General features: G+C 41.0%; 1 protein-coding gene across 21 annotated transcripts in view, besides 1 other annotated feature; it reads right to left on the reverse strand.

The window, feature by feature from the left end:
• Nucleotides 1–13,261, reverse strand: part of ERC2 (ELKS/RAB6-interacting/CAST family member 2) — a 960,157-nt gene that overhangs the window by 742,673 nt on the left and 204,223 nt on the right. The window lies entirely within an intron of this gene.
• Nucleotides 3,073–3,685: an enhancer, noted in NCBI's record as "OCT4-NANOG hESC enhancer chr3:56288084-56288696 (GRCh37/hg19 assembly coordinates)". NCBI's record gives its function as "activates a minimal SCP1, AML or CMV promoter by ChIP-STARR-seq in primed H9 embryonic stem cells {active_cell/tissue: H9 hESC(primed)}" and the evidence as "EXISTENCE:reporter gene assay evidence [ECO:0000049][PMID:30033119]".

Raw genomic sequence — 13,261 nt, forward strand, 5'->3', positions numbered from 1 at the left:
GAAGGAGACTTTAAGAGACCACTTAACACAGGCTGCCTGGAGAGTGAGACCTTCTGAAGGTGCACTGCCATCTAAACACGATAATATTGCAGGGATCCCAAACAAAGTTATACACATGTAAGGGCTGAAGACATTTCTCACCCACCATAGAAACTAAAGAAGTTTCCCAACTGCCACCAGAAACTACAGAAAGTTCCCAACAGCCTCACAATCCAACCTTTCAAGTTGATCAACAGAACAACCCAAATGTCCAGTTAAATTCTGTCTGGCTAAACTCTGTAAAATGCAAAAAAGTAAGACATTATCAGTATTGTTCAGTGAGTTTAAAAGAAAAAAAGCTCAAAAAATCATATACTATTTCAATCTTGGCTGGTATTTATCCCTACAGTTGATACAACTGTTTTATTTTAAATGGATTGTAAAATGTTACCAGAATGGCCTTAAAATCAATTTAATAACTGATCTGCACTCTCCTGGTACACAGGAAAAGCAATGTCCAAAAATGTCCAAAGAGAAACCTGGCAAGAAGAAAAAAATAAATCTCATTCAAGGCTGCCATCTAGTGGGCAAATGAGGTGGCTGTAATGTTGCTAAGCAACATTTGGATGGCATATTTAAAACTGTAGAAATTTGGAGCTAAGAAGAAACTTAGTTCAGTGTTTCCCAAAGTATATTTCTTGATAGCAGGATTCTGCCATCAAATGCATTTAACACATGCTAGGTGAAATGCTGTGGAAAATACATCTTAACCATAGGATATCTCACAGCCTTAAATATGTTAACCTATATTGGAAATCTCTAAACGGAGACGTGGCATTCCGCACTTGTATTCAGTCAGGGAAACTCTTTACTTGTAGATGCCTCTGAACTCCTCATAGAGTGCTGGAGTTTCTCAAAACAATGTTTGGGAAATGCTAATCTAATTCAACTCTTGCCTCCATATTTTACACAGGAGGGCCCCAGTAATTGAAGTAACTGGTCCTCAATTGAAGTAATTGAAGTCCTGGTTCTCAGCGCTGCCTTATAGCTGGTCAAGTTCCATGGCAGGTGTGTCTTTGTAACCCGAGGGCTGGGTGAAAGCAGGAGGGAGGCTGTAAGGTGCTCCCCCTTGCTCCTCATCCTTAGCATTAAAATTCTCCTGTGGGAGGTCTGGAGGCTTCATGCTAAGTGCCTATTAGGCTTGGACATCCTATAACAGTTAAAATATTGATTTTAAAACCTAAAATAATACTTTCCTTCCAAGTTCTTATGGTTATTTTTTAATCTGGCTGAAAATTGATCTTAATGTTATAGTTCATCTCTATACGTTTTATTGTTATAGTTTTGTAAAAACACAAATTAAGAGTGTGTGAGAGTTATTTCTGATGCCTCCCATACATGTTCCATCTAAGGTTAAACCTGAAGGACAACCACAATATCTAGCAATGACTGTGGACATCAAAAACCAAAGTATTACGCATAAAATAATAGCTTTAACAGGGGCATGCCTGGCCGGGCACAGTGGCTCATGCCTGTAATCCCAGCACTTTGGGAGGCCGAGGTGGGCAGATTGCCTGAGGTCAGGAGTTTGAGACCAGCCTGGCCAACATGGAGAAACCCCGTCTCTACTAAAAATGCAAAACAATTATCTGGGTGTGGTGGTGCATGCCTGTAGTCTCAGCTACTTAGGAGGCTGAGGCAGGAGAATTGCTTGAATCCAGGAGGCAGAGGTTGTGGTGAGCCAAGGTCGCGCCATTGAACTCCAGCCTGGGCAACAAGAGCAAAACTCTGTCTCAAAAAAAAAAAAAAAAAAAGACATGCCTTACATTTGCCCAACTGAAGAAAATATTACATGGGATGCTAACATTGGAATTACAAAAGCAGCTTCCAGAGATGTTATTACAAACTATCCTGAAAACTTAAATAGATCTTCACTTGGAAATAGATAGAAAACTTTTTAAAAATACAACTGTGGGCATTGTGCTTATGGGCACCCCAGGGAACCTATGGAGACGTCAGCTATGTAGCAACTTTCAGAGTACTTTGTTCAGGTGGTCCTGGCTAAGTGGTCTCAGGTTCCACATCTTCTAGGGACAGCATGAGCCACAGCCAGATCTCCAACTCTCACACCTGTTCCAGTGTTTTTCACTGCTGTACCTTACCAGCTGGTTATTCTAAGAAGGAATCATGTGTTCACAAACTCTGGCTCCAGAGACCATTCCCTTCTCTCAAGACTGAAAAATGTAATAATAATAACTTAATGAAGATTAAAAATAAATACAAGTAATCCCAGCTTGGTACTTTTAAAATAATTTTGATGGCTATATGATATTCTATCACTGCCAGATTCCTATTTAGAAAATTTTAAGTTTTCTCTTATTTAAAAAAGTTTTACCTTATTTAAAAAACTGTTTAAGAAAACTTACTTTTCTTTTTCTAAAAAAGGGAGGAATTGCTCTCAACTTCTTTAGGCACAAAATGTTTTCTCTACTAAAAATCATCTCTAAAGGATATCTTCCAGAAGTGGAGTTACGGAATCAAAAGGTTAGACTCATTTATGTTGACAAGCTTTTTTCCCAAAATAGTTGTCCCAGTTTACACCAAATTTGGAACATTTTAGCCTCAGTTATGAATGGGAGGCTTGAGAGATAACTGTAGGTGTACAGACCACTTGTGGTTCAGTCCAGGTCAAACATGCACAGCAACTGGAAGGCTCTGGAAATGCTCATTTGTTTGCACATCTCTCAGACTTTAAGAAGCCTCTCCCTATATATGAGATACAAATGCTAAAGACTCCCCAGGTCTGTTGTGGTGGCTCTATAATCCCAGCACTTTGAGAGGCCAAGGCTGAGGATAACTTGAGCCCAGGGGTGCGAATCTGCAACGAGTTATAATCGCACCACTGCAATCCAGCCTGGGCTACAGAGGAAGATCTTGTCTCAAAAAAATAAAATAAAAATTTCCCAAACTCAAAGAAAAGCTCTTACTTAGGAATTCAACCTCAAGGTCTTAATAAGAGTTTAATACCTGCATATAGGATTGGTGTTTCAATGGGATTAACAGGGACCAAAATGCAAAGTGGAAACCAGACTAAAGTATTGTCAGTTAGTTTAGATGGATTGGGAGAGGGCTAGCGCCCAAGTTTCAAACCTGGCACAGCTTTGCACCAGAGAGCTGGCTTGTAATTGCTTTATGTCGTCCCCTTTTATTTTCCCCATGGATTGCTGCGGCATGATGGGATGTTGCAAAGTGACTCTAACAGGCAGAGACTAATTTGAAATACTTCCTTGGCTCCTCACATATTCTAAAGCACCCCCCAACAACTATACTCAGCCCAAGAGTTAACAGCATTCCTTAAGAGCCCTTAAACCCCTTTTTTTTTTCACTTTGAAAATGTAAGTTGATGGAATCCTGCTCGTTTACATTCTGTGTATTTTCTGACAGGACCCGCAAGTATTTTCAAAGGCTCCACTCTGAGTTAGAATTAGCACATTAGGGACAGCAGATTCACTGTTAAGGAGGAGGCCCCACCTCTGGCTCATTTTTCTTTCCTTACCTTGCTCAGAACAGGATTCCCCACATACCAACTGGCCAGCTGACACTGTTGCACATTTGCACAATCATTCATTCATTCATTCAAATATTTACTGTGCTCTTATTATGTATGTGTCAAGTCCCGGGCCGGGATCTGAAAGCCCAAAATGAATGTTGAATCAGTAACTCCAGCCTCATTCATCTATCAGTTGTGTCACCTTGGACAAGTAAGCTAATTTTCCTGAGCCTCAGTTTCCTCAACTGTAAAATGTGGGATAACAATAGTCTCTGCCTCACAATATTAAATAATTGTACATACTTCCCAAATTAAGTGTAATAATATACATAAAGAACATTATATCTAACACCTGTTAAATAGTCAAAGAATATAGTTTAGTCACTAATGTGAAAAAAGAAGATAATAATTTAGCTAATTCCGGTGAAAAATTATTGTAGCAATTATTCAAAGACCATGTGCCAAATATAATGTTTTATTTGGTATACAAATATTATATCTCCATAATGAAATTTCAACGTAGTTCACAATTCTTATTTCCATCCCCTAGTGGAGAATAAAGGGACAACGGCCTTAATCTTGACTTAGAAGTAACACAGTTATCATTTGTTCACACCTGTCCCTGAAGACTCTCTCCTTTCTCCATCTTTTCATCTACCTCTAACTTCTTGACACTGGGAAAGTGGCCTCTGGGGCACACTTGTCCTCTATGGATGTGTGAGAATAGCTGGTGCCATCTACATTTAGGTGTTGGCCTCTGGCATCAACTACTTAAGGCTGTAACCCCCACCACGGACTCCAACAAGGTCCACACACTCTTGAGTCCTTCTCATCCCCATCCTGGGCTTCCCTAGTTTTCCAACTGTCTCAGCTCCCTTTGATAGCTCAAGACCCCGCAGCTGCTTTCGCCACACCACACTGGGGCTTGAGTCCTATAAGGCTGTCCTCAGCCACTACCATCTTGACCATGCAAGAGGCCTATTGAATGTGCATCATCTCATCTCCCTGGGCTGCCCTGGGAGGCAAGCTCATTTACCCTGCTTCTCTGGGCTCCTCCTGAGGAATATACAGCCTAGATACTTTCGAGAAATTTCTGGATCTGAGGAGCCCACATCTATTTCCTTCTTCCCTCACCTGGAATGAGGCAGAGTGCAGGGAATCTCTACTCAGGCACCCATCTGCTTTGCAAGTCCAATCACGTCCCCTTGGATCCATCTCTTTCTGCCAGTGGGTTGAATTCTTTCTTTCCTTTGGGTTGGATAAGTGCTCTCCTGCCATTTAGGCATTCTCTACTCTATGGCTTAGACCCTCACTGTTCAAAATGGTCTGCGGACCAGCAGCATGAATGTCGTTGCCTAGGAGCTAATTAGAAATGCAGAATCTCAGGCTCCACCTCAGACCTAATTAACTGAAAGCTGCATTTGACAAGATTCCCAGGTACATGGTAAGCTCATTACAGCTTGAGACACAGCAGGTTAAAGATAAACTCCAAAACAGTTCCCTCAATGTGGATCTTCCTCTACAAGGACAAGAAAAATCATCTCTCTTTCCACAAGGCTAGCTATGGCAAATCAAACGTAACTTGGTGTTCAGACTACTGTAATTTTTTAAACTCTGTCTGAAAGCTTTAAAGTGAGCCATTACCCCTTCCACAGAACGAAAGAATGCCTATGAATTGCCAGGAGGAGACCTGCAGAGACAACTAGGAACAACCAGTACTTACCATGAATGAAAATCACATTGGTTAATATTTCAAAAACATTAACTTGCTAAGTGCTCATTTCCAACAGGTGATTAAAATCACCTTGAAATAAAGTGAGTACTGAATAACAGAGAGTTGGACACAAAATTAAACTAACATGAGCTGACTGTGGCTCTGAAGTTAATAGCTCCTAATGAGAATTATCTCAATATCCAGGTATTTGAGACAGATTTATTTTCTCTCCTTAACATGTCGAGAGAGTTTGCTCTTGATTTCCAGGAAAACTTCATAATTTATCTTTTCTTTTGTTGTAACCAGTGACTTAATTTCCAGGAATTTTTTTTTTTTTATGGGAGGCAGCCTGATGTAACAGAAAGACTGGACCATGATACGGTTTAGCTTTGTGTCCCCACACAAATCTCATCTTGAATTCTAATTCCCACATGTCGAGGGAGGGACCTGTAATCCCCATGTGTTGAGGGAAGGAAGTGATTGAATCATGTGGGCAATTTCCCCCATGTGGTTTTCATGATAGTGAATGAGTTCTCATGAGATCTGATGGTTTTATAAGTGTTTGGAGGTTCCTCCTTCACTTTTCTCTCTCTCCTGCCGCCTTGTGAATAAGGTGCCTGCTTCCCCTTCTACCATGATTATAGGTTTCCTGAGGCCTCCCCAGCCATGCAGAACTGTGAGTCAATTAAACCTCTTTCCTTTATAAATTACCCAGTCTCAGGCATCTCTTTATATCCATGTAAAAATGGACTAATACAGGCCATATGTTTAAATACTTACTTTTGTGACCTTGAAAAGAATTAACCAGCTTCCATATCTTTTAAATGGGGGTAATAATTCTACCTCAGAGGGTCACCATGAGGATTAAATGAGATAATGTATGTAAAACCACTGGAATGAAACAAGTGCTACCCACCCCCAATCTCTTCTAGGTTTTCGATTCCAGGTGATCTTCCGGACACCTCCAGATGACTTTCATCTATATATATCTAAAATTGTGCTTGGTTCAACAATAAATCCCATCCTCTCTGATTTAAAATACTGAAAATTCATTTCCAAACATATGTTCCAAGTTTCTGCCCTAGTAAAGTGGCAAAATATTTCAATTCTTTTGGTTTATAATACACATTAATGCATCATGGTTACAGTCTTCATCAGGGATGGCAAGCTTGAGAACCACCTGCAGTTCAGGCAATTTAACTTACGTCAAACCAAACAGCCTCATCCTTATCTGCCCAATGCTAAGGCTCCATTTCCCACCCTGAATAACTCTAGCAGCTCATATTTCACTGAAGTTACAAAAACAGCAATACTTGAGGAATTTACCAAGCAAAAGGCCATTTTCCATGGCATCACGTTCAAGGCCAAATTAATGTGTTGATGCTTTCACAATTAGGACAAATATAGAGGATTTGGCACATTTTGCTTTTCGGCCATTGCCTTGCATGTATGACATTCACTCCATTAGTCAACTCCAGTCATATTTTCTTTTTTTAAATCTGATTCTAGCACAGAATGAAGTTTATCATCTTTGTCTACAAAAAAGGGGAAATGGACTGCCAGAGATGTAAAAGCAATTCCCAGCATGTTAGTAATTACAGAGGTTTATCCTGGCTTAAAAATTCTCATCAAGGATTTTTTATTTTTTAGGTTGGAGACATCATGTCACAGTACCAGCCACTTCAGTTCACAATGGAGATAATTAGACATATTCAGGGTGACCTTCTCTCTCTTCTGAATGCGTCCCTGTGCTTTCAGACCGGCAGCTTATACACAATTTTTTAAGTAGGATAATCCTTTCATTCTTCATATCAAGTCATGCACAGAAGCCTGAGAGCAAAAAGGGCAGCCAAACTCCTCTGGATGCAGCAGGACTAGGGGGCCAGATGCCCTGCCCTGCTGGGTCTCACCTCACAGCAGATCCTAGACTCTAGGACCCTGCAGTGCACCTTTAAAACTCACTGACCAAGATGATCTAGACTAGGGATTGGTAAATTCTTTCTGTAAAGGGCCAGATAATAAATATTTTCAGCTTTGAAGGCCATACAGTCTCTGTCACAGCTACTCAGCTCTCTTGCTATAGCCTGAATGCAGCCAGAGACAATGTGTGAACAAATGGGTGTGCTAGTCCTCCAATAAAATATGTACTGGCCGGGCGCGGTGGCTCACGCCTGTAATCCCAGCACTTTGGGAGGTGGAGGCGGGCGGATCACGAGGTCAGGAGATTGAGACCATCCTGTGAATGGTGAAACCCCGTCTCTACTAAAAATACAAAAAATTAGCCGGGCGTGGTGGTGGGCCCCTGTAGTCCCAGCTACTCGGGAGGCTGAGGTAGGAGAATGGCGTGAACCCGGGAGGCGGAGCTTGTAGTGAGCCAAGATCGCGCCACTGCACTCCAGCCTGGGCAACACAGCGAGACTCCGTCTCAAGAAAACAAAACAAACAAACAAACAAAAAACTTTATGTACTAAACCAGGGAGCTGGCTGGATTTGGCCCATGGGCTGTAGTTTGCCAACCCTGATATAAACTGGAAATGTACCTTTGTTCACGTGATATTCGAGATGGAGAAGCAGCATGTATCATAGAGAGTGCCCCAAACTCCACTTTGTACAACTTAAACTTTGATTTATTTTCATTTTACCCCTAAAATTTACCAAAGTAGTTAATATAGGAAAATTGTATCTCTTTCATTCACCAGGTAGCTGCTTTGAACCTTAAAACTATGTTTTTCTTTTAATTAATTAATTAATTTTTTTTTTTTTTGAGACTGAGTTTTGCTCTTGTTGCCCAGGCTGGAGTGCAATGGCATGATCTCGGCTCACAGCAAACTCCACCTACCAGGTTCAAGTGATTCTCCTGCCTCAGCCTCCTGAGTAACGGGATTACAGGCCTGTGCCACCGTGCCTGGCTAATTTTGTATTTTTAGCAGAGACGGGGTTTCTCCATGTTGATCAGGCTGGTCTTGAACTCCCAACCTCAGGTGATCCACCCACCGCAGCCTCCCAAAGCTCTGGGATTACAGGAGTGAGCCACTGCCCCCAGCCCAAAAAACTATGTTTTTCTTTATAAATCATGATCATCTCAAATGTAATCTTTCACACACAGTGCATTTTAATTCTTGGAAGATGTACGTTCACTGCAATTCTATAGGTCAACCCGCCTTACCGCAAAAAATATATTTCATAAATACCATATAAAATTAGGTTGTGTCCCTCCTCTCCTGTGTAAGTAGCCAATTTTATGAAAAATTGAGCAGAATCAAAAAAGTTTCCTTATAAAAAACATTATATCAGAGTGACTGGGGACACAACAGGTATGGGGGAGGAAACGTGGGTTTTAGAATAAGTTTTGATATAATATCCCAGATACCCTCTAGGTTATTATATTATATATTTATAGTATGTAATTCTGGTACAGATTTGATATGATATGATATGATATGATATGATATGATATGATATGATATATGATTCTGAAAACAATCAAACAGAGCCCCTGCCCTAAGGGACCATGGAAAGGGCTGCCCAGAAGCCTTGCTTTTTCCATGTGGCCATTCTCAGCAAGCTAGGCCTGACTGGTACAAGGATGAAAACTGACCCAAGCTGGGCTGCCTCCCAGCTTTTGGCTGGATCTATAAAAGGTAAATTCAAGAGCTATGGGTTGGCTGATGTTACCACATAGACCCAAATGCAGAAAAGGCAGGAGAGATGGAACCCCCGATAGGCTCGGGTTCCCACCACCAGCGCTTCCTCAGGGCCAGCAGCACCCAGCACTTGGATTCCATAAGCTTCCTTTTCAGTGAAAACTCATTTTCTAATGTTGCTAACTAGAGTTTCTTGCAACCACAGAGTCTGAACTTTTCATACACTGCCCTGCCCCACTTCTCATTCCACCTTTCCAGCCACACTGCTCAGTCTTCTCCAGAGAGAATGAGAATTTGCTCCCTCAGTCCACTTGGTCTGCAAGCGGGGAAAGCAAGCTCTATGAGAATGTTGTGGGGGACCCTCAGGAAACCACTCCTCCCCGTAAGTCCTGGGACTCTCTGCCACTGCCAAACATCTTCTTATGGGAAGCAGATGAGAATAACAGACTTTCTATAAAAGTTAAGTGAAAAGCTTACCAAATAAGGCAAAAAAAAAGGTTGAATGAGATGTCGCCAAGGGCCCTTAATTTCTGTACCAAGTGAAACAATTAAAAAACAGGAGAACATCGCCCCCGCGCCCCAGCCCTGGAACAGCAATTCACAGTGGCTCCCAGGGGCTTGGCTGCAAGCTCAAGCAGCCCTTCTGTTACCCACCCAGAGCTGTGGGAGGTGGGCCAGCTCTGGGGACAAGCACTGCTCACTTAGTTGAAGCATCCTTCCTTCAGTCAAACCGAAGATGGCAGATCCAGGTTTGGCTCTGGCCATAATAGCTCCAGAGCCTGTGTTATTAACCGCTATGCTCCACCACTTCCCTCTGGCTTCTCCTCCTCCCTCCATACCCTGACCTGTCCAACCCATGTTCCACTCCAGATCAGCCTTCCTTAGGAGCAGCTTTATTATCATCACTTTCTTGCTGAAACCCAGCAGCTGCATCTTGTTCCCAGGCCAATTCTCAGAATGCCAATTTGATTATGTCCCAGCATGACCCACAACCCTTTAGTGGCATGGTCTACCATATCTCACAAAATCTTTCTCTAATGCTCCTCTGTGTCCTAATGAAAACCTCTCTCCTTGTCCACTCTATTGGTATTCTCGACAAATTAATTCAGTTCCTTGGTTGCACTAGCCACTGTTCAAGTGTTCAAGAGTCACACGCGACTGTAACTACCACATTGGACAGCACAGCTCTAAACTTTCCTTGGTTCTTCTAAGGTCCCAGCTCTCTGCTGCCTCCAGCCTTTTTAAGCTATACCCTCTGTCTTTAGCGGGTTCCCAGTCTCTCTTTCCCAACCCTCTTCTTAAATTCCTTTTGATCCTTCAAGTCTCAGCTTAAACACAACTAATCCAGGCTTCACAAGAAGCTTTCCTTGCCCTCTCATGCCTAGGTTAAGTAACCCTCTTAAACACTCCAGAACATATTTAATAATTGAGATTATTTATATACAATCTGTTATTTCCCATAAGGATACGTACACTATCTTATAAACGGCTCTATCTACACTGTCTAGTGGACAGTCAATAAAGACTCACTAACCTTATTCTTGTATATAACGTCTACAAGAAGGGGAAGCCTCCCCTACCTTTCACCCTGAACTTCCTCTGATCCTCCCTGCCTCTCCTACACCCCAGCCATTAAATAAATTGCACAGCTTGTAACTCACTCTCCTCTGGACTCATCCTGTGTTCTCACTCGAGCTTTTCCTGAACTGTGCCCTCTCTGGCTATCCCATCCCATTTCAGCTCTCAAACTCTGCCCCTTTCAAATGCCACTTCCTACAGGGAGCCTTTAGGATTCTCAACATTGAGCTGAAATTGTTTATTCTTTACTTTTTTTTTAACTTTTATTTTAAGTTCAGGGGTACTTGTGCAGGATGTGTAGGTTTGTTACATAGGTAAACTTGTGTCATGGGGGTTTGTTGTACAGATTATTTCATTACTGAGGTATTACGTCTAGTATCCATTATTTATTTTTCCTGATCCTCTCCCTCCTCCCACCTTCCACCCTCCAATAGTCCCCAGTGTGTGTTGTTCCCCTCTATGTGTCCATGTGTTCTCATCATTTAGTTCCGACTTACAAGTGAGAACATGTGGTAATTTGGTTTTCTGTTCCTGTGTTAGTTTGCTAAGGATAAGGGCCTCCAGCTCCATCCATGTCCTTGCAAAGGACACGATCTCATTCTTTTTCATGGCTGCATAGTATTCCATGGTGTATATGCACCACATTTTTTTTATCCAGCCTATCATTGACAGGCATTTAGGTTGATTCTATGTCTTTGTTATTGTGAATAGTGCTATTCTTTGAACTATTTTGTAGACTATGTTTGGAATTGCTACTCTTCAAGTGTGTGTCTCCTCCTGCTGGCCCCTGCTGTGTGGCTTGAAGAGCAGGGGCCACATCATCCCAGTACCCAGCACCCACCACTGTGTCTGGCACATGGCACACACTCAATGAAGGTGAAGTTGTGGGGGACCACTGAATATCAGTCAGAGTCATCAACAAGTGAGGATCTGCTGAGCTTGGATAGTTAACAAAGATGATGGCAGAAGAGGAACTGCAAAGTAACTATTTGAGTAGCAATGTATTAAAGAGGCAGCAGAGAAAGCTAATGAACCTCTCCAGTATACTTTTGGCAAACTGATTCTCTTTTAAAAGACAGTAGTGTAAAGGCCAAAGGAGTAACAGATATTCCATCATGGTAGCTGTCAATTTTACTGGAAAAATTATGCCCTAATGAAAACTGATATTTGAGTTTCATTCTTTGTTCCTTCTAAAAATGAGCACAGTTTCACTTGTCACCTACATTTTGTTAAATGTAAGAGTTAAACACTCATTTCATACCATTTAATTTCATTTGCAAGATGAAGGTCCAATCTAAAGTTACTAACTTTCCTCTCATTACATATACAAATTTTGGTCCCCAATTTTGGTATCAATTGGTTCCAACATGAATATCCTCACATAAGGAGGATCTCCTTCATAGGGATACAGTTGTAATGAATTCCCTGTAACAATTTAACATTCCAAAGATTGTCACTTCTTCTTTGGTCTCAAGCCAATTCACCTAGAGCAAAATTATCCTCTTAATACCCACATAGAAACTGGCCAGAGATGTTTTCAGAACAGGAAGCTCTACAGCAGCAACAAGCAAAGCAAATATAATACTAGCCCATTTCCATTCATCTTACTGCCTTTGGCAAGGAAGAGCCCTTAACATTTCACTCTCAGGCTTATGTAACTTACAAGATAGTAACTTAAGTTCAAAGTGTTTTTTATTTTTAGTCTGATAATTCAATTCACTTTTGATTTTCTCACTGATTTACAAATATAATATAAGAAAGGGTGAGACACTAGCAAGATGGTGGAGTAGGAGACCCCAGCCATCACTTCCCCCATGAAGAGCAACAATTCAGCAACTGTCCATGAAAAAAAAAAGTGTTTCTGGAAGAGCTTAGCAGTCTACTTAAGTAGCCTCAACAATACAGTGAAATTAAAAAAAAAAAAAAGCCATGAGAATCACCTCCCAAAAATAATAGGAAGAACAGTTTCATTTTCTCTGCACCAACCCATCTGTCATCTGCCCTATAGCTGTGATCAGCACAGAGAGGAACTCCCTAGCTCCAGCAGCCCCCCGCAGAGAAAAGGATCAGAAGGGGTTGTTATAAACAACTATATGCCAACAAATTGGATAACTTAGAGAAATAGATAAATTCCTAGAAGCATAACCTACCAAGACTGAATCAAGAAGAAACAGAAGGTCTGACCAAACCAATAACAAATATAGACTGATGTAGTAATTAAAAGCCTCCCAACAAAGAAAAGCCCAAGACCAGATGGCTTCACTGCTGAATTCTACCAAACATTAAAAAAAGAATTAACAACAATTCTTCTTAAATTCTTTCAAAAATAGAACTAGAGGCAATACTTCCAAACTCATTTTATAAGACCATGATTATCATGGTACCAAAGCCCAAAAAAGGCACCACAAGAAAAGTATAGGCCAATATCTCTGATAAACATAGAAGCAAAAATCCTCAATAAAACATGAGCATCCTGAATTTGATAATACATCAAATTATTATACATTGTGACCACAATGTATATCCCTGGGATGCAAGGTTGATTTAACACATGCAAGTAAATTAATGTGATACATCACATTAACAGAATGAGGGCTAAAAACCATATGATCATCTCAATATATGCACAAAAAGCATTTAACAAAGTTTAACATCCTTTCATGTTGAAAATTCTCAAGAAATTAGGTTAAACAAAGTAGTTTCCTCAGCATAATAAAGGTCACTTATGAGAAGCACACAGCTAATATCATACTCAATGGGGAAAAACTAAAAGCTTTTTCCTTAAGATTCCATATA

Source organism: Homo sapiens, chromosome 3 (assembly GCF_000001405.40).
Source record: "Homo sapiens chromosome 3, GRCh38.p14 Primary Assembly".
NCBI lineage: Eukaryota > Metazoa > Chordata > Mammalia > Primates > Hominidae > Homo > Homo sapiens.